At 33.8% G+C, this 23,259-nt stretch overlaps 1 protein-coding gene across 58 annotated transcripts in view; it reads left to right on the plus strand.

The window, feature by feature from the left end:
- Positions 1-23,259, plus strand: part of PAM (peptidylglycine alpha-amidating monooxygenase) — a 276,323-nt gene that overhangs the window by 192,415 nt on the left and 60,649 nt on the right. For 57 of the 58 annotated variants that reach the window (NR_033440.1, XM_024446066.2, NM_001319943.1 and 54 more), the window contains 6 exons: positions 1,181-1,248; positions 2,340-2,420; positions 2,705-2,781; positions 3,520-3,623; positions 12,678-12,862; positions 13,961-14,032. Coding sequence is in view for 56 of the 58 variants with exons in the window: in XM_024446066.2 (XP_024301834.1) it covers positions 1,181-1,248; positions 2,340-2,420; positions 2,705-2,781; positions 3,520-3,623; positions 12,678-12,862; positions 13,961-14,032 (587 nt within the window). In the remaining 2 variants the exon portion in view is untranslated. Of the gene's footprint in view, positions 1-1,180; positions 1,249-2,339; positions 2,421-2,704; positions 2,782-3,519; positions 3,624-12,677; positions 12,863-13,960; positions 14,464-23,259 lie in introns of those variants that run through there. The other variant, NR_157231.1, reaches the window with a different exon arrangement.

Consider the following 23,259-nt stretch of genomic DNA (forward strand, 5'->3'; position numbering starts at 1 on the left):
AGTGTTGGCTGGAGGTCGCCCTCATATCCTTGCCAAGTGGGCTATAAACAGGGCAGCTCATGATATGGCACCTGGCCTCCATCATAGAAAGTAAGCAAAAAAAGGAAGAGAGGGCATGCATGCAAGATGGAAGCCAGAGTCTTTCAGTAACCTAATGTTCAAAATGGCATACCATCACTTTTGCCATATTCTATTTGTTAAAGATAAGTTACCGAGTAACTCAGGAATGGAAAACCAAACATTGTATGTTCTCACTCATAAGTGGGAACTAAGCTGTGAGAATGCAAAGGCATAAGAATGATACAGTGGACTTTGAGGACTTCCCAGGGTAAAGGATGGGAAGGAGGTGAGGGATAAAAGGCTACTAATTGAGTTCAGTGTATACTGTTTGGGTGATGGGTGCACCAAAATCTCAGAAATCACCACTAAAGAACTTAGGTAACCAAATACCACCTGTTCCCCAAAAATCTATGGAAATAAAAAAAATGTTAAAAATGTTTAAAAAGATGTTACTACACTTCTTTTAGCCCACATTAAAGGGCAGGGGATTAGACCAGGGCATGAATGTCACAGCTAGGAATCATGAGAGCTGATTAGTCAGGGTTCTCCAAAGAAACCTGAACCAATAGAATAGAGAGAAAGAGAAAGAGTTGTTGTAAGGGATTGGCTGACACTATTGTGGGGACTGATTAAGTCCTAAATCCATTGAGCCAATTGGAAATTCAAGGAAGGGTTGATGTTGCATTCTTGAGTCCAAAGGCAATTCACAGGCAGAATCCTTTCCTTTTGAGGGGACCTTAGTCTTTTCTCTTCAGACTTTCAATGGACTGGATGAAGCCCACCCGCACTATGGAAAATAATCTGCTTTACTCAAAGTTTAATTTAAAGGTTAATCACATTTAAAAATCACCTACCCAGCAACACCTAGACTGGTGTTTGACCAAACAACCAGGCACCTGGCCAAGTCAACACGTAAAGTTAGCTATCACAGGAACCATTTAGAGTCTGCCTTCACATGAAAAAGTATTTTTTAAGGAAGAAAAATTTTTCCTCTTTTTCTACTTCAATTTTCAAAAGCATCACATTTTATAAACCAAAGTATTGAGGTATATGCTGTTTTTCCAAAACAGTCATTTTGACTTTTTCAGGTATTTTAGAAAAATGTTATTTTTTTCTGCAGACAGCCTTTAATTGCTGGCATGTACCTTATGATGTCTGTTGACACTGTTATCCCAGCAGGAGAAAAAGGTGAGTAATGATTTTTTAATATTTACCATTACCTCATTACCTAATCTGTAGAAATGGATTTATACTGTATTTTTTATAAACTTTAAAAATAATCAATATTTTTATGTCTTGGAAAAATGAACCAATACTTTATTGTCCTTGGATTTAAAATAGATTTTTGTATTATTCCAAGCCAGTGGTTTATTACTTTTCCATTCTTTATTGAGATGCTAGGAATTGAGGCCCTTGTGTAGGTGTGTATTATATAAATTAAAGAATAAATCTTGAGTATTTAAAAATAAATCATCCATTCTTGAGATGCAGAGGACACACTGCATAATGAGCAGTGACATAAACTTCTACATAGAAAGATTTAAAAATTAAACGACTAGCAAATCCAGCACCAACTTAGTCTTTAAACTTGGATATAGTTGGCTTACTTCTCTACTTGCAAAATGGGGATGATAATAGCTGATTCTCCCAAGCTTACTAGAAGCGATGAGAATAAGTATATTATTATTTATCAATATATTTTACGATCCTCTGATGAAAGTGCCATATGAAATATTGTTCATTTGTTTTCGCTGGGAATCTCTTAAAGTTAATGACCAGTATGGTCTCTTTGTTACCATTTTTTCATCTATTATAAAATGAATATTTATTGAATAGCTACTGTGTTAGACTATAAGGAAGGAACAGTATGAAATGGCCTCTTCTCAACAGGAACTGTCAATGTAGTGATGTTAGGTGTCTGCATTCAATTTTTCAAAAATTCTTTCATTCCAAAAATAAAAACCAATTTTTAAGCTTTCTCAACTGGATAAATTTCAAGCTAAAGGTAACAAATTAAGCCTATGTTTTCACTAACAGAGTATTTTGATTTGGTTCTAGTCATTCTGTTTATGAATAAAATAAAAATATAAGGCAAGGGGTTCTTAATTCATGTGAGTAAAGTGGCTGGCACAGAATAAGTGCTTAATATCTGTGTATTTAAGTCATAAGAAAACCTCAGTCCCTAGCATCTTGTGAATACCCTATGCATAATTTTAGATAAGAATAATGTCATTTTCCAGTTGAATAGTGACTTTTGTCTGTGTTTTCATTTCCCACAGTGGTGAATTCTGACATTTCATGCCATTATAAAAATTATCCAATGCATGTCTTTGCCTATAGAGTTCACACTCACCATTTAGGTAAGAACTTTACATGTTAAATTATAAATATTTACCATTGTGCTTCCTGGTGCCATAAATTAAAATGCAAATTGTGTTTGACCTTAAGTCTGTTTCAATGAAAGTGATTTCATATAAGACCTTGAAATATTTTATGCTGTTTTATCATATTGTTTTTTTAAGATACTCAGTCTTTGCAGCTCTGAAAATACTCAGATTTCTACTTTAAAGTAGGAAAGTAAATATGCCTTTTGTTTTTCTAATACCTTATTATATTAAATGATTAAAATTTGTGTTTATTACAGGTAAGGTAGTAAGTGGATACAGAGTAAGAAATGGACAGTGGACACTGATTGGACGGCAGAGCCCTCAGCTGCCACAGGTGGGTAAAATCTAGTTTAATTTTGAGAGAAAAAAATATTAACCAGCAGAAAGTAATTTTTAAAAATTATTATGCAACTCTTGTGAATTTCTCTAAAAATCTCTAAATCTGCCTTAACTGTATAACTGAGCTGTATAACCTCCTTTTTGCAACTTCCAATTTGTTGCTTTCTTTGTCAGTTTTCTCAATATGGTCAAACCATGTTGGTGGCCTTTCACATCCCATCATTTATTCAAAGACAGTATTTCAGACAGCTCTTCTATTATCACATTTATTCTGATTTTTATGGGATGCATTTGCTAATAGTATTTTTTTGTTTATTTCAAAGTTTGGTGCTCTTGTCATAAAGTAGAAGTTATTAATTAAAGGTGAACTGTTTTTATCCGATGATTAAAGGTGAACTGTTTTTATCCAGTGATTATTTGTGTATGTGGGTGGGTGTGTGTGTGTGTGTGTGTGTGTCTATTTCACTGTCTGTCTTCATCCTCTCTACCCAGAGTGTACCAAGCTTCACATTATTAAAGCATGGGGTTCTGTGATATATCAATAGAATTAAGGTCAAAAATCCTCTGATCAGTTGAATGGATGCTGAAAAAGCATTTGATAAAATTCAACATCCCTTCATGATTAAACCCTCAAAAAAGGGGTAAAGGAGGAACATACCTCAACACAGTCAAACATGTAGTTCTGGATTTTATTGGTAATATTAATGATTCATTGTGTTTGTCTTTTTGGTAGGCTTTCTACCCTGTGGGGCATCCAGTTGATGTAAGTTTTGGTGACCTACTGGCTGCAAGATGTGTATTCACTGGTGAAGGAAGGACAGAAGCCACACACATTGGGTATGATTCTATACATTCCACTATTTAAAGATATTTTATTGGGATAAGGCATGATTACAGGTGACAGCTATCTTTGTGAATAAATTGTACATTTTTTGTCCTGTCATGGACAATTACAACAAACTGTGGCATTTTATCATTTCAAAGCTGATTGATTCAGATAAACCCCAGAACATGTGCTCATTTTTTTGTGCTACTCTTTTTCTTACTTCCTCAAAACCTTCGGTATCATACCTCTAAATATTACAGTTATCAAAGACTTCATATTACTTTCTGAGGCTCATCTTAATAAAGAAAATATAATGATAATGAAAATTTTTTTTCTCAAGTGCCTTTTTGCCCTGTGTTCACGGGGTCTACATTTGGTGATTCCTATTAAATACTCAGAACCATGATGTTAAAACTCTCGTGAATTTAATAATTTCCAGTTGTTTAGTCTACTAAATAAGGATAATAATATGCAACACTTTATCAAAAAAGAATGTTGAGCCTTTTAAATAATTTTTTAAATACTGAGCCTCCTTGAAATAATTATATTCTATAACACTACATAAAATTTTCAAAGCACTATGAACTCTTTCAAAAAAAACTTACCTAAATGAAAAATGAAAGGTAGTTTCTTTTCATGCTTTTTGATAGAAAAGAATCAAGGAGACTTCTTTTTATGTTAAACAACTTTTAAATATTTACTGATGCCATCTGGAAGCTAGAGTTTTAAACCATTTATGTCGTAATCAAAGAGAAGTTACAGAAAGTAAGCATCTGAAAATATGCTTTAGATGCCCTAAAGATGATTCTTGCGATAGCAACACTAACTGTTGGCTGTATGGAGAAAGGGAAAAGGTACTAAGGCAGGTTTAAAAAGGAAAGCAGGAGCATTTGATATAGTGTAAAAGAATTTTTATGTCACTCTAAATGGCTTTTTTATATAAGTAAGCATAAACTTTAAGGCTAAGGATAAAACAAATAAACCTTTATCAATTTCTGTTACAGAAATAGTTTCCAACAGCTTTGCTTTTGGATAAATTTGCTAAATTTGGCAAAGAGACTTCAGGAAAGCAATATTATTATTGAGTTATGGGAAACGATGATGGTAAGAAAAAGACTGACAAAGGAGGCATAACTAGATTTGAAAGAAAGAGCATAACGAGTCCCTTCTTAACAATCTTTACATGAGGTAACATGATTCAGAGGGTATCCATCAGTTGTTCATTTTATGTCAGTGCAGAGCCATAGGTAGTTTACTTAAATGCCCCAGGTTATGTTATTAACCTTTGTAGTAAGTAAATAGAGCAGTAAAAAAATCCCTTTCAACACATTACCTGCATTGACTTACAAGTTTTAAGTGTGGGAAAAAAACAGAATTTTTTGCCTAGAGGGCTCTTTACAGTTTGCAGCGGGGAGGTTTGTTACTTTGGCCAAATTCTATCCTTTTGAGTTCTGTCTGTGAGGTAATATCTGCCATAGAAATTAATGACTTGTTATAGTACTAGGATGGGAGGCCAAAGTGATCTCTGGAGGCCTCTATCAGTTCCATGAGTCTAGAATAATTCTTGTCTTTTTTAAAATGTGCATTTTGCTTTAAAATAATACCCTAAAATGACTACACTAATTTATCCTTTCACAAATCTCATGTGGGCTAAAGGAAACACCATTTTGTAATAAAAATGAAATAGAAAGGAATTATAGGAAATTAACTTATTGGGTGAGTCCATATTCTGAATATTTAATTTCTACTACAGAGGCAATTTTTTTACCAGTGGAATGACAAACAAGTAAGACAAGTTTTAATACATTTAAGTATGAATAAAAGTTTTCATAATAATGGATAATGTTCTCATAGCAGTTAATATGCTTTTTATTTTTAGACAAATAACAACAGCAATGTGTCTCTGTTTTATAAAATAATAGGCAAAACCTCCATAGATGATTACAGGATCACAGTTGAGAATGTGACCAGTGAAATAAACTAGTAATTTATGATGTCGGTTAAATTAAATGATACTCTGTAAATCCATATATCTCCTCTCCCTCTTCTCTTTTCCCATCTACCTCCAACCCACACATACAAACACACATTCCCACAGGACACAGATTTGAGCCCCGAGCGTGAAGCACACATAGGTATAAATCACACTTAACTAAGGATAGGCTGGGGCCAGTAGGTGCCTCCTCCATGTACTGCGAGAACTCTCAGCTTCAAGTTTTAAACCTTTCTGTTCTATGGTTACATAGAAACTAGGTTTTACAGAAAAACCGTTGACAGTAGCCTACTAGGAAGATTTACAGTTGAGTGATTCTTCTACCAAAATCAAGCTTAACTGTATTAAGCTAGAAATTTTGGAACTGGAGAAAACTTTGCTTGGGTAGAACAATCATGGGTAACTAATGAACAGCACTTAAAAGTAGAGGCTGATTTTCCCATAACAGGGATTCATCTTAAAATACCACGATGTAAAAACAGGAGATGGATTTAACCACCTGAGTGTCCATAAATGGATGAATGCATAAAGAAATGTGTTTTACATACACATGATGGAATACTATTTAGCCTTTACAAGGAGGGGGGGGAATCCTGTCATTTGTGACAAGGTGGATGAATCTGAAGGATGTATTAAGTGAAATAAGCCAGGCACAGATATATTAATACAAATACCACATGATCTCACTTATATGTGGAGTCTAAAAAAGTTGAACTCATAGAAATAGAGAATAGAATGATGGTTACTGAAGGGTGGGAAAGGAGGTAATAGGAATTGTTGATCAGAGGACATAAAGTTTCAGATAGACAGGAGGAATAGATTTTGAGATCTATTGCACAGAAGAATGACTATAGTCAATATAATGCACTATATATTTCAAAATAATTAAGAGAGGAATGTCAAATATTTCATGATTAAAAAAATGATAGGGCCGAGTACAATGGCTCATGCCTGTAATCTCAGCACTTTGGGAGGCCAAGGCGGGCAGATTGCCTGAGGTCAGGAGTTCAAGACCAGCTTGGCCAACATGGTGAAACCCCATCTCTACAAAAATACAAAAATTAGTCGGGCATGATGGCGGATGCCCATAATCCCAGCTACTTGGGAGGCTGAGGCTGGAGAATCGCTTGAACCTGGAAGGAAGAGATTGCAGTGAGCCAAGATCATGCCATTGCGCTTCAGACTGGGCTATAGAGTAAATAACAGGAGCAATGTTTCCCTGTCTCCGTCTCAAAATAAAAAAATATTAAAAAAAAGATAGGTAAGCAAAGTGATGGATTTGTTAGTTTGATTTAATAGTACCACACTGTATCCATATATTAAAAAATCACATTGTACCTTATATTACAAAATTATTTTTTATTTCAATAGTTTTTGGGGAACAGGTGGTTTTTTGTTACATGGATAAGTTCTTTAGGGATTTCTGTGATTTTAGTGCACCTGTCACCCAAGCAATGTACACTGTACCCAATATGTAGTTTTTTTTATCCTTAACCCCCTCCCACTCTTCCCTCCTGAGTCCCCAAAGTCCATTTTATCATTCTTATGCCTTTGCCTCCGTGTGGCTTAGCTCATATTTATAAATGAGAACATATGATTAAGTGCTTACCATTATTTGTCAATCAAAAGTAATATTAATAATAAAAACTACTTTAAAAGTAGGTATATTTAATATGAGATATATTAATAAATATACTTAATGGTAAAATGTTTTACCCATATATTATATTTATTTTTAAATAGTAAATATGAATAATATAGCCTAAATAAAGTTGCACCAAAGTATTATATATACTGACAACATAGTACTACTAATTGTTCTATGAAGAAGCAATATTTTGTGCTTGACTGCATTACATATTTTATATTCAGGATGATACTTCTCTAAATTCGTTTCAAATGTTTAGTCAAGTTTAAATAAAAACAGAATTTAATTAAGTCAGCCAATTAAGCTCATTAAGTCAGCTAATCAGGCTAAAAGTTTATATGCTAAAATTTAATATTAATTATTGGGACTAGGTAGACAATATTTACCAATTTGGTCAGTTTTGTTGGTCATACCTTTCATTTGGAATGGGTCATTTCATTAAAATATGAATGTTCATGGATACCAACATAGCACTTTAATCTGCATTTTTAAATATATTACATGCAAAGATAAAGTTACATGATAAATAACTTCTTAATGTATACATTTAAAGGCACCACGAAACTTTTTAAGAAATGATTAACAGTTTTGTAAAATGACTTCTTTGAAGTTTTTATATTTCTTTCTAAAATTACTATTACCGATTTTGCCTATTTTCAAGCCTAACATTTGTTGAATATAAACGGGGTAGAGGTGAAGAATTCTTGAGCTAGTGGAGTGTTTGCGGTATAGACATGGAATACAATGATATTTGGAAGTTTTTAAGTCATACATTTCAGATTACTTGGTGCTTTATTAAATCTGTATTACATATCTTTCTAATATAATATATTTTAATAAAAGCTCTCATGGAACCTAGGTAAATAGATTAGACAGATGGATAAACAGATATGGATATAAATAAATATTTTCAGAAATCCCACAGATCAATTGAGTACAAAAATTTGATCTGACTCATTATTCAGTAGTATAATATACTAGGGCAAACATGCTATGTCATATGAAGTTGTAAACATTTATTAAGCAGGATTATTAATTCTTCCTTCATTCAACACATATTTATCAAGGGCTTCCAATTTTCAGGCTCACACATTATGTCAGACCTAAAGCTATTTATATTAAGTATGCCAGTATAAAACAGGAAGTTATCACATAAGCACTTTATTATTCAAGAAGATGAAATAAATGCACTACTGTAATTTTGGAATGTAAGTAATGCCAGCAGTCATCATTTTAAGGAATCACACTGGCATTGGAGAATGTTTAAAGGGCCATTCAGTGGACATAATCTCCCTTCCTACTTTCTCATGTTCATAAATCACTCAGATTAGCAGAGTTGAATTGCATATGTTGATCTCGGTGGAAATTAAGGGTACATGTGTCAAAATACTCCCTTAGGAATACAGAAAGCAATTTGTTTTAAAATGAGATTTTTTGTTTTTGAATGAAAGGTGAATGATTGTAAAATAAAATAAGCAAACTGTGATGCTGATACTAAGGATGATTTGACTCCTGACATTTTTAGCATATGATAGTTTCTCTGTCACATAGGAGCTCAGAGTTACCTTGACTACAAGTCTAATTATAGATGGAAAGGAATAAAGTATGACTCTTTTTGTTCAGCTCTTTTAATGAAATTTTCCTTGTGATAGCAAAGATTCCTAAATTATTTGATAAAATTCAATTTTGAATCATAGAATTGGTACCCCAAATGAACTGTATTGGTGAGCTGATTAATATGTCTCAGAAAATCACGTGTGTAAAGGCAAACACATTTATATGTGTATCAAATTAACACATAATGTATGTGTAATTGAATTAGTGTATTGTGTGTGTATGTATATGTGCATGTGTGTACACACATACATATATGTATACTCTTACACATATATGCATAATTTTTCTCAAAAGTTAATTCAGTACATGGTAAGATAATTCACTTTTGAGGAAATAACCTGCGACCTTAGCTTATGTTTTTATTTTTATTTTCTCAAATATGCTATTTAAAATAATAAAGTGTGATCATAAGTTGTAGAGGACAAAGAGTTACATTATTCAGAAAGTTACTGATTTTCCTTTATTTGCTATACTTAAGTACATGTGTTTTTCAAACATGTAACCTTGTACCTTGGTACACACTATTTCTAATATAGTAATTGCTGCCTTTGTCTCCAATATTAGTATATAATTATTCTAAACTTATGCCACCTTTTTATTTCATATTCTTCTCCATAATTACGATCTATAATTTTCTTTTGTTTTTTGTTACTTACTGCTTTTTGGTGATAATAATGAATTTAATTTAGTAAGAGTAAATTATTGTCCTGATTTAGCCGACATTGCACAATTTAATTCCTTGTTCTCAGATTAATTACCTTTCACTTGTTTGAAATGAAATTTTTACTTTTAGTACAATTTTTTTTCAAATGTATGTTAAAAACAAATCCTTCCAAATATACATGTAACACCAAAATTATCTTTGAGGAAATATATATTAACAAGATATTTTATATTAGTTATTTTGAAGCTTTGCAGTATTAGTTGCTTCTTAAATCTCTAATGGATTTTTCTGAAAGCTTGAACTATGTGTTTATCTGAATGGATGGACAGATGGACAGATAGAAGGATATAGATAGAATATACATAGATATTTACCTGTCTTTATACAGATAAGACATGTTATGAAACATTTCTAGCTACACATCTGTATGCATATCTATGTATATTCATTTGAATAGCTTTATATAGCTTTACTACATGCACACTACTCTATTGAAGAAATCCTTTTGATTGGTCATTCTTAAACAATACTAGCATTTTGTTTCTACCTACGTAAGAGCAAGTCTTACAGTACAGCTTTTCTTAAATTATGCCCTGGAACACACAGCAACACAAAGGAGCCCGGTCAGATTCATTTAGGGAATAGAACCTACTGTATCCACGCCCCCCACCCCACCATACAGTCATGAGCACATTGTGTATTAAAGGATCAGGCAGTACAACATTGTTTAACTTGTATAGCCCAACATTTTCATTTGTTCATATGGTAAGATTTTTGTTTGTTTGCTTTTTTTTTTCTTTTCTTTTCTTTTTTTTGAGACGGAGTCTCAGTCTGTCACCTAGGCTGGAGTGCAGTGGCGTGAGATCTCAGCTCACTGCAACCTCTGCCCCTGTGTTCAAGCAATTCTCCTGCCTCAGCCTCTTGAGTAGTTGGGATTACAGGCAGCTGCCACTGCGCCCAGCTAATTTTTGCATTTTTAGTAGAGACGAGGTTTCACCATCTTGGCCAGGCTGGTCTTGAACTCCTGACCTCATGATCCACCCACCTCAGCCTCCCAAAGTGCTGGGATTACAGGCGTGAGCCATCGTGCCCGGCAGGCCATATGGTAAGTTTTTCTCAACTCTTCTGTAAGCATTTCAAGGACCAAAGTTTTGTGGTAATAATTGTGGAAATACTACTCTAGTAGGAAGAGTAAAAAAAGTTCTAGAATTCCCTCTCTAAGTATTTTATAAAAACATATAATAGCTCACAGAATAAACAATTTCCATTTATGCAACAGAGAACACACTGGCCCAAGGGACCAACAATATTTAGACCAGCAGTGATAGTTACTTCATTGTGTGTAGCTTTTTAGTAAGGAAAAAAATCAGGATACTGGCTTCTTACATATGCTGTTGTGGGTGGGTATACCTTCTCCAGTGAAAACATGGGTATTGGCATTCCCAAAAAGAGAAAATATGGAAGGACCCATCCATTGATGAGTTGCAAGTTTCATGAATTATTATATGAATTTAAAATGTTTTTCCTTTCATTAATTTGAGATGCTTAAATGATTATTTTGCCTTTCCTCTCTGCAAGATGATTAAAGGTTTTTAAAGCTAGAGCCACATCTAAAATTCCTTTTTCCTTTTTGCTCAGTTGATCTACATATACCTCCTTTTTTTTAAAGCAGGAAAGAGAAGGATAATATGGCGGGAGGCTCCAGTTTATTATTTTTGCAACAGCCATTCCTTTTATAGCACATACTGACCAACTCCAAGGCTGTTAAAATGTAATTCTTAGGAATGGTGTTTTGACACCATGAAGACATGTGTAGTGAACAGATGTTTGTTTGGCTTTGCACTTCACTATTTGCTTATATTTCACGGGAGAGGCAATTACACTGACAGGTATCAGATTCAGAGAGTAAGAAGCCAAATGATTTCTAAAGCATAAACAGAGCTTCCCATGGCAGGGGCTTATTCCTGTGGTCTCTCAAGGGCTCTATATTTTCAAAGCTTAGAGAAATCAAATCCCTGTTTGAAAAATATTTTTATTTTTTTCCTTCCCTTGCTGATGTCATACTGTTGCTATGGAGAGAAAGTGAGTGCTGCATGACATTGCTGGAAAAATCAACACTGATGTATTTCTGTACAGCAAATAACCTACCTCATAGCTTTTTTTTATTAGTGTAGGCTTGCTAAAAATTGTCAATACTAATACTAAAATGGACATGTTCCTTTGCCCAAACAACTTTGCTATGTAAAAGTCTTGTGAAGGTGTACTTAAATGGTTCCTTCCTAATAATGCTAAAGAGAATGAAATATATAATAACCCATGTGAAGTAAGGAAGCAGAATACATATTTTGTAAACTATTAGATATTTTTTCTATCATTGGGAACTTTTTTCTTGGAAATATCCACTGTTTTAAAATCTATTTTTAACATTGAGTCATTCAACTGTACAGCACTACTTCCGTCACATCTCAACCCTTAAAAAAGATTAGTGCTGATTTCATTTTGAGTCATTCCTGAGGCATTCTTTTCAACCCTGCTATAAAAGCCTAGTTGCCAAGTCAGACATCAGGGATACACTTTGAATGTCTTAGTGGGGACACATGATTCTAGATTCATCTGGCTGTAAGGAAGGAGGCAGTTAACCAAAAACAAGGTCCAGGACTTTTGATGTTAAGAGGAAAAGCCATTTTTAAAGACTTATAATAAATAATATATGATAATTATATTGAAGGTTTCTGATTTTTACCATTGTTAAGGAAATAATAAAGATTTTCCACGAGAACAATAACTTTTCCCAGTCTATGAGTTTTAGCAAATAGGAGGGGACTAAAGAATAAAAAGATTCAAGAGAGAAAAGAAAGTACCATATTCCCTCATCTACTAAAATGCCATTTTCATCAGTGGTATTTAGTAGTGTTCATGGTGTGCCTGCAAACTGACACTCCATTGTTAAGTGGAAATATGCCTTTGACAATGTGCTTTTGATGTTGAAAACTGTGATGGGTTTTAATGAAAGCTATAAAATAAATGCACAATATTTCTACCTTTGAATCCATTGCTGGCAGATCTAAGGGCTTCATTTTTCTTGCATTAAGCATGTGTTTTATGTGAATAGTTGATTTGTTATATCTTTTTTTTGCCTGCAGTGGCACGTCTAGTGATGAAATGTGCAACTTATACATTATGTATTACATGGAAGCCAAGCATGCAGTTTCTTTCATGACCTGTACCCAGAATGTAGCTCCAGATATGTTCAGAACCATACCACCAGAGGCCAACATTCCAATTCCCGTGAAGTCTGATATGGTTATGATGCATGAACATCATAAAGGTAATAATTGATGTTTAATATAAAGTAATATATGATTTTGTATTTTATATTTTTGTATGTATCTTGTTTGATGATATTTAAAATCATCTTTATTCCCTTCTTCTACCAGTCACATGTACACACATATTTCTTATTTTCTCATTTTTCTCTTTCATATCCTATCTCCCCTCCCTGACATGTACCCATCAGAACAGTTAAAGAGGAAAATCTCAGCCAGGGATGAAACAGATTCATTTTGGGACCAATCCCATAAATGTAGACCTTTTTTCACTTAATTCATGTTTTCTCATTTCCTCATCTAACTCCTTCCCTAACCAGTAATGACTTACACAGTTTATGAATTTATGCACCATGTTCTAAAGATCACTACAGTTTGCCAGGGAAAATGGTTATCATCTCCAGCCATACTTTAAATTATCCATTTAATGGGCTTCTTCAGGCAAAGAACAATTATTGATTTGTGAAGCATTGCTAGTCTTGACTTTTTTTATCTAATTCTCAGAATTGTTATTTAACATATATATAGTTCCTCTGCAAAATGGTCATATTGACTGTCACTTTTTAACTTAAAATTGCAAAGTCTACTCCTTGTTTTATCGCATGAAGTATGCTGAGACTTGATTGAGTTTTGCAAGTTCAGTCTTAACACGCTAGAGCAGCTTCTTATTTCTTTCTAGTGGAAATTTTATGAGAGAAGTTAGCATAGCATTCTGGCCATTTATTAAGATTCTACTATATTTATAGAATATGCCTTAAAGTGTTCTTAAATGTTCTTAAAACAGTGCTAAATTTAATTTAAGAAAACAAATATGAGTCATTTTGTCAATGCATTTTGAAAATTCTGTATCATTTATATATTATTGAAAGGGTAGTTGACCTAGTTATTAAGTCAGATGTCTTGTAATTGGTAGGTTGTGCTGGGGGGTGGGGGGTGGGGAGCTTATGAATTAGAGCATTTCTGTCTTATAAATTCTTAATACGGTAATAAGCACAAGACCCTGAATAGTATTTTTATGTTGATGGACTATTTCCAATAAACTATTTTAAGTATGTAATACATACTGCAAATTTATGCTCAGCTTCTTTGATCCTTTACAGAAACAGAATATAAAGATAAGATTCCTTTACTACAGCAGCCAAAACGAGAAGAAGAAGAAGTGTTAGACCAGGGTATGTATGCTTATTTCTATAACTAGTCCTATAAAAGTATCAATTTCCAAGTAGGCAACCAAATTGTAAAGTTACTGAGATATTGTATGTCTCTCTGTATCTGCCTCAAACACTATGTATTGCTATTTTTATACAATGCATAATTCATGAGAAAATGGTCAATTATTGCACTTTAGCTTTGAAAGTAAAATTCATTCATATAATTTAGTGCTGTTTCATTTTCTGTCTTTGTTTTACTTCATTTAATATTATAATTTTTATGTATAGTACAAATAAGTGCAAGCATAATCATTAAAAACCATCAGGCTGCTTTTGAAATCTAATAACCTTAACCATTTAAATTATTGTATATTTTGTATGGTATGTTCATTAAGTAGATTTGAGATTCAAGAAAAAAAGAAATTAAGAATTAAATCCACATCTTACCTCTATAAGTCATTCTTCTCTGCCTTCATCAAGGTAGGAGCGATTATTGTCTTATACATCTATAGTTTTGTGTTAAGTTGCCATCTGCAGAGTTTAAAAAAAGCATCATTCTTCCCCTGTTCTGTTTATTGAAAGTGGTAATGTTTGATGCTTGTATGTCATATACTGCATGTGCTGGTACTAAAAAATTACTTCCCTGAATCTTGGCTTTTTGCCAGTTGTTTGGAAGGTAGTGCTTTGGGTTAGGCTTTGGAGTTTGTTATCCTAAAAAGTTGTTTTTGGCCTACGATACACGTTTTTAAACGTTAGTTTCATGTTAATGCAAACCCACTTCTACTGACAGCACAAATAGGAATAGAAAGGATTTTTCTATTAGCAACATGTAGAAGTTTCCTGTTTCTTATTGCTAGCTGCTATTGGAATTCTTCAAAATGTATTACATTAGGTCTAGTTCAAAAATATCACTCTTGTATGAATAGTTTTTACAAAATTAAACAATTGAGACTTTAGAAAGGGGAAAATGCATTCTGAAAGAAGCATAAAGTAAACTGTGATCCTGAGGTTTTTAAATTATACAGCGGATGTTTTATAATATCTCATTCTAACAAAGTGACCTTCAAAAAAATACAGCTTAGCTCAAAGCACTAAATGGCTGAGTAATTTAAAATAGCTAAATTTATCAATCCTGTTTATATATTTGTAAGTAAGCCAGTAATAGCAGCCTAAATATAGTGGTATTCAGAGTGTTTACTGTAACTTCTTATGAAGTTTGTTCAGACTTTCAATGAATTATTTTGACATTTCAAATGCTATTTGAAATGTATGTCTTTAAAATAATTTTGTCTTAGAATACATTTACAAATAACAACATATATGAAACAATACGGAATGAGATACCACCATTTAATAGATGCATCTTATAAAATGGTATGTTTCTATGGAAACTGCAGTTGGACTATGGTTTCCTTTTGAAGTTAGTCAAGTTGATCAAGGGAAACACTGACACTTCTAAAAGGTTAAAAACCCAGGGGTTTTGTTAGTGAAGCGGTATTAAAGGTTATATTTCATCTGTTCTTTCCAAATAGTAGGATGTAGGAGGTGTTATATACGCCTACAAACCAGATTCTTTAAAATACTTTCATACCTTGCCATTCATTTACCCTTTTGTGTTTTATAGCATATATATAATATTCAGAGGTGAACATTATCTATATACCCAAATATACAAATATACCCAAACTCTTACTGGTCCCCGAGAATAATTCTATGGACACATAAGAAATTATTTTCCTGCAGTTTCTATTTTCTTCTGTTTGTGAATAAAAATGCTGTAACTAAAGGTATTTAACTTGAGAATAAAAAAGCATTCTGATATTATCAATTTTCATATTGCAGAAAATAGGCTGTTACTCATATGTTGAAATTAGTGGGCCCATTAAAATGTCATCTCTAATGACGGTAAAGACAGTAGCCTAACCAAAAGCCATTTCAATGGCTAGCATAGTCTGTGTATGATCCTACCAGTCTATGGGGACCACCAGCCTAGAATTAAAAGAGAAATACAGAAATGTACCAAATGCACATTTGTACACATAGTTCATGTGATGCACTAATGAGATTAGTCTGTCTCCTTACAACACATAGGGCAAATCTCATTGCTGAAAGAGTATTTCATTCTTCTTAGAGATATTTGTTTGCACAAAGTGTCTATTTGTATGCATTCTTTGGAAAGTCAACTTGACCAAGTAGCTAATAAGGGGGCTTTAATTATTCAAATAAATTATGCCATGTATGTTAATTTTTAAAGTAAGCCCTCAAACTTCACTTATCACTTTATTTGGTGTTCTGGCCAAAACAATTTGTGTAGTATTTCTTTACATTGTACAATTATTTTAATACTTTTTAGCCCCAATAAGCAAAAGCCCACATTATTGTGGTTGTGCTAGCCACAAGCTAACAGACACCATCTATGTTGGTCCTACAGAAGATGTGAAACCCCTGTAGAAAACAGCACAATGTGGGGTAGGAAGAAAAGACTTGAACCATCGATGGATATGTACTCATGGACAAGCTCTATACCTGTTAGTGGGTACAGATAGTTCTGTAAGTGATGTAGATAGTTCCACCTGGTTAATACTATATATAGTGTATATGTGTGTATATATGCACATACACACATACATATATATATTAAATAAATGCTATTTAAATTGTACTATATATAGTATTATATATATATATTTACTTCCTATCTTAATACATTGGAAAACAGGTAGAAAGATATAAGTCAAGATATGTAATAAATGTTATGTTAGAAAGAAGAAATGACCTTTACTAAGATAGAAAAAAAAGAAGGAGGGGAGAGATAGAAATAATCATATTCCATAGACTAAAAGAAAGAAATGTAGCCATGCCACAAATAAACAGGAAGTGGGAGTTATCTCTAACATGGAGGAAAAAAATTCAAAGAAAGTTAGTGATCTTTAAAGAAAGCCAGTGATCATTAAAACACAGATTTATTTAGTACTCTGTTTCTCCAGGAGAAATATATTTTCTTTGAAATTTGTATCTCAAAAATTGCTAGCTATTGATGTTTTGCCAGAATATTAATCTTGATTAGAAATTAACTAGAAATTAACTAGATGTCTTGACATCTAAGTTGTGCAAATCCAGTCTGTGCTTTCTCACAAACACACTAACCTTTCACCATATCTTTGTCTACATCTGCTCTCTGTAGAACAAAATCTGGTGTAAAGCAAGTGTACCTCAGATTCTGTCTCAAAAGATGTAATTACAGAGACACCACAAAAGCATCATTATATGACAGTTTTACTTATCATGTTGTCCTGGATCATGCAACAATAGGAAACATTTTAATGAGGCTTTAATTGAGTCTGTAGGGATTTCTTTAAAAATAATGCTTATTTTGACTGATTTTTTAAAATAATATTCATTATAAAAGATAAGGAAATTATGTAAAGTATAAATATACAAATAGAAATCATCCGTAGTCCCCAGAAACATGAGTACATATATGTATGTGAAATATATATTATGCATATATTTACATATTCAATATATGCATATGTAAAGCACATTATTTTAATTATAATGTATACACAATTTCATAGCCCTTTTTAAAAAATATACCTTGAATATTTTCTCCAGTGGTAAAAATTATTGGCAAGAGTGATTTTTAATGGCTGCATAATACGTGCATATTCCTGCCTATATCAATTTGAAAATAACCCATTTGCATATAAGGGAGTTTATCTGCGAATGAGTTGATTATGTCTGCCTACAGGGAGAAAAACACAAATGGATATTTAAAACAAACTAAAATGTCACCGTCCTTCAAAGACATTGTGAGTGAAGAATTACCTATATATGTAATAAGTACAATAAACTATACAATAGACTCAATTAGGCAGTGATTCTGCATGGAGGAAATGAATCCTAGGAGACTATATAGAATGAGGAAGTTCACACTGATGTCTTCCAAAGCAGACACACACACACACACACACACACACACACACACACCTCACATATATTAAGGTTGGCACTTTTAGAAAACTAACACATTTTGTAAGTTCTCTTTATTTCTTATGCATTATAATTTCTTATATGCGTTCACTATACCAAAGCTATAAACATCCTGAACTTTCTATAACCATTGTTTAAGCAAAGAATATGGGCTTGAAACTAAGAAGCTTACTAGATGGAAGCAAAAGTCTACACAATTACATTTAAGAGTTCTGAATTTGAGTGTCTCACCTCTTTAATATTCAAAGTCTAGATGTAGTGTTGAAACTTACGTCTGTTGTATTGGGAAGATTCAGTGTCTTAAATTCCAGGCAGAATTGAAAATCAAAATCTATAATAACAGTATGTCCTTGTTATTATGTATTATGCTCTAGACAACATTTATTTGGCTGCAGAAACAGCCTTTAACATGTTTTATTCAGTTTGCTCCAAAATCTCCTCATTGTAGTCTTTGTGCCCTCATATAATCAATCTTTCTACTCAAAGGTCAGCATAAGCTACTGTATTCCCAAGGCAGAGAGAATATGACAAAAATATAATTTATTGAGGGAAAATACCCCATGACCCCAGATAGTTAAAGGTCTTCGGACACCTTCTGTGAAACAGTAATTTCACAGTGGTTTTATGCTAACAAAAATGAATTACCATTGGCATGTTTTATCAAATAAGCAGAATCAAGGGAACAAGGTTGCCAGTTAAAAACACAATAGTCTACTGTCAAAGCCTGCTAAAGTTACAGTTGTAAACAGTTTATGGGAAGAGTTAAATAAAGGCTGGGCATGGTAGCTAAAATTTATATTTCATTGATTTGTTCAAAATAGGGCATTCCTTTGATCCTCTAATAAAACACAAATAATTTTAGTAACATCTTCTTAACTAATTCCAAGCACTCTCTATGCCACTTTGCTGTTTTAAAGAAGATACAGTTTTTGTTTGTATGCCTATTCACTAAAAATTTATTGGTTTCTTATGATTTATGAGCACTTCACAAGTCTTTATTTATTGAACTCATCTATCAAACACAATTCTAAATACCCCCCAAGGCTCTGGGAAGCTGACTGAATGCTGTTTTGAATTGGTTTCCTAATAACGGAATAGGCAGATGTGAATGATCATTTATCACACAGTTAGGCTTTCCAATATAGATCTGTGTGCATGGTAGTTATGAAAACCATCATCTTCTATCTTCTCCTTTTTTATATTTGTCTCGTTTTCTTAAAAAGGAAGAAAAGTTGATTTCTGATTGCTTTTCAATCAAATGAGCCCTATAAGGGGAAGAAATAATAAAGTTCACTTCATTTGTGATCCTTGAGCTGGTCACCATGGTCATGTGTTTTATTTCTCTAAGGCTAGAGAATAAATATTGTGGGACAGTAATAAGTAAACAATCAATAAACCAAATTGACTTTAACCCGAAGGGAAAATCAGTTAAGACTAAGTCATAAAACAAATTATTAAATTCTAAAAAGAGATGCTTTTATTTTTCCATTCCTCATATCCTCTCATTAATCAGTTATGTTCCATGGCTCTAATCATGTTAACTTGGTTACTTGACATATTTTGTCAGTGGCTAAACTGCTGCTGAACATCCTATTTACTCTCCTTATATTATAGAAATTGCAGAACAATAAGCAGTAACAAGAGCTGGGTTTTTTTAGGTAATGAAGAACTAGTAATGTGTGTGGGAAATGGGAATTTATATTCTGGAAAGTTCTGAGAGGTATTTGATCATTTTTAAAAAATAATAGCACCTGCCTCATTAAGATTTTACAATTTCTAAAAAATTAGATACTTTTTTTTTTCTATCCAGTAATCTTAAAGCATTTTTTAAAAAACCTTCATAGGACCATTTTTCAATGTATATTTCATCTATTTTAGTTTTTCTCACCATATTCCTGAAAGTACATCAGAGAAATTTCCATGCTGGGAGCAGGGAATAGTGAGTGGTCCCTGATAATAGAAAAATGTCCATTGATCCACAAAGCAGTTAATGCAAGCACACAACTTAGGAACTTTAATTGGTGGTGTTATTAGATTCCCATGTACTATGCTGCATTCCTTTTCTCCACACATTAGCTGCTACTATAGTTGTGTTTTCCATATACCAAACTCACACAATTGAATTCCTTAAAAGATCTAGAGCATTTGGGTATTTTATAAGAATCAAAAGTTAGGGAATAAAATTTAAAAATGGGAAATTACTGCAGCCTAAAATCATCAAGGAAATATTTTTATCTCTGCTAATGCAGATGCAAGGGCTGACATTTTTAACAAATTATTATTCATCCCAGAATTGCTTATTGAGTATCTGCTAGGATAGGGAAAGTACTAATCTCTGGAACTATGACAAGAAATAAGAAATGAGAGGGACTTTTTTATATAAAACTATAGTTCTATCTTGTAATTTCTCCCTTCCCAGAGATAATTTAAATATACAGAAAGTATTTTTAGAACATCTTAAAGAATTTGGTCATACATGTAAGGTACATTTTTTCAAATCAAAGAAAACTAGGCCTTTTTTTTTTTTTTTTTGAGATGGAGTCTTGCACTGTCGCCCAGGCTGGAGTGCAGTGGCACTATCTCAGCTCACAGCTCACTGCAACCTCCACCTCCCAGATTCAAGCAATTCTCCTGTCTCAGCCTCCTGAGTAGCTGGGATTACAGGTGCCCGCCACCACCCCCAGCTAATTTTTGTATTTTTGGTAGAGATGGGGTTTCACCTTGTTGGCCAGGCTGGTCTCGAACTCCTGACCTCAAGTGATAGGCCTGTCTTGGCTTCCCAAAGTGCTGGGATTACAGGCATGAGCCACAGTGCCCAGCCAAAAACTAGTCATTTTTTAAGCTAGTTTTGTGCAAATCGCTGTGGTATGTATGTATTGACCAGTTTGCACGTTTCTTGTGTTACGATATGGACAAGATAGACCAGGATATGACAAAGAGAAACCCAGTTAAAGAATAAACCTAGCACTTGAGCTCAGAAGATGGTTAATTTAAAAAGAAAAACAATTAAGTTTTTTATAGTAAGATTGATAAGTTTGAGAAGAATGTATAGGAAAAAGTGTAATGGCCAGTACAGAAAAGACAGGGAAACCTGAATCCAGTCTAGTGAGCAGTTTGGAGGGCAACTGTCATTCTGACCGTCTCCTTCAAATCCCAGTTCAATTTCCTACCAGCTGTGCAGGTTAGTACTGTACCTTTTGTTTCCTCATATAAAATAAGGACAATAATAACAATTTAATAGAGATTAAACGTATTAAACCGTATAAAGCATTCAGCAAAGTGAATGGATCATGCTAAGCTCTCAAGAAATTTTAGCTGCTATTATTATTTTCTATAGTTTATATTGTTCTGAATATGTTAACTCTGTCAACAATTGGTAAGCAGCAAACGTCTCCATTTTTCTAGGACTGTCCCAGTTTATGCCTAGTATAAATATTATTAACACCCTTTTCCTTTTAAAAAGTATTCTAGTTTGAGAAACAAATTATATGGTCACCTTAGCAGGGAGTCCCAGAATAGAAATAGAAAATACCACCCAGAATATACCCAAGGATTTTAAATCATTCTACTGTAAAGACACATGCACACATGCGTTTATTGCAGCACTATTCCCAATAGCGAAGACTTGGAACCAACCCAAATGCCCATCAATGCTGCACTGGATAAAGAAAATGTGGCACATATACACCATGGACTACTATGCAGCCATAAAAAAGGATGAGTTCATGTCCTTTGCAGGGATATGGATGAAGCTGGAAATATCATTCTCAGCAAACTAACACAGGAACAGAAAACCAAACACTGCATGTTCTCACTCATAAGTGGGAGGTGAACAATGAGAACACTTGGGAACAGGGAGGGGAACATCACACACCAGTGCCTGTCGGGGGGTAGGGGGCTAGGGGAGGGATAGCATTAGGAGGAATACCTAATGTAGATGATGGGTTGATGGGTGCAGCAAACAACCATGGCACGTGGATACCTATGTAACAAACCTGCACATTCTGCACATGTATCCCAGAACTTAAAGTATAATAAAAAATGCCACAAATCAAAATCAAAGTTAGTCCAGTGGAAAAAAAAAAAAAGAAAAGAAAATACCACTCAGAAATATATAGCTGAACAGAGCTGTGGAAAAGGTAGCTATGGGGATATAACCCAGGAGTGTCCAAGGTGGGTAGGGTGCCATCAATCACACATCAGTTCCGTAGAGGTAGAGCCACTTTTAATACCATCCTAGACAGATTTTGTCATCCAGAGCAGAGATGGGGGTCCTTTCTGAGGAAGGAGAAGAGTCTTTCACTATGACAATCAAAAGATAAGATTCCCAAATGAGTACTGGTGGTAAGGAGGGAAAAGTTGATGTTGCAAATCAGCCTAGGTTGGACCTTGTGATTCACTGGTTAGAGAGAGAAGAACACAGTTTTCTGAGTTGATTTACTCAAAAAAGTGTCATCACTAAGAGAGACACTATTAAAAGGTTAAAATATGGCGAGAAGATTAAGAGCTCCATTTTAGACATTTTAAGTTCAAATGAGACAGACAGACATCCAAGTGGGATTTTCCAGAAGACAGTTTTGTAACACCAGTTTGGTGTTAGGAGAGCTCCAGGCTTGGTAGTCATGTGCCTGGAGGTGGTAGCTTAAGTTTTGTAAGTGACTGAGATCACTTAGTAGGAAGAGGCTTTAGCCAGGGGAAAAATGTTTCAGGGACAGACTTCCCAAAACACCAGCGTTTTTTACATGATGGACGGTAAAAAGAGGAAGCACAGATGATAGGTGGAGAAGACCTGTAAAGAACAACATTATAAGGAGAGAGGTTCTGAAGGGAACTTTCAACAGGGCTACAGCCTCCCAGTAGATCAAAATAAAGAGTCTATTAGCATTGGCAATTAGGATCCCTTACCTCTTGGAGAAGTCATACAACGGTGAAATAGGAAGTGGAAAGAAATGCATCCAATTTAGGGAGGGAAAAGGATGTAAGGAAGAATGAATCAGCAAGTAGCCCTGCACCATCCAATATGGTAAACACTAGGTGAAAATATTTATGTTTTGAATATAAATTAATTCAAAGTAAAAAATTAAAAATTAAGTTTCTCAGGTGCACTAGCCATTTACAAAGTACTCAGCCCCATGTGTCTGTCTAGCAGCTATTAGGTTGGACAGTGCAGACATAGATTACATCCATTATTACAGAAAATTCTTTTGGACAGTGTTGGAGCTTGTAAAGGAAGAGAGAAGATGGAAAAGCCTGAA

This window comes from Homo sapiens, chromosome 5 (assembly GCF_000001405.40).
Source record: "Homo sapiens chromosome 5, GRCh38.p14 Primary Assembly".
NCBI lineage: Eukaryota > Metazoa > Chordata > Mammalia > Primates > Hominidae > Homo > Homo sapiens.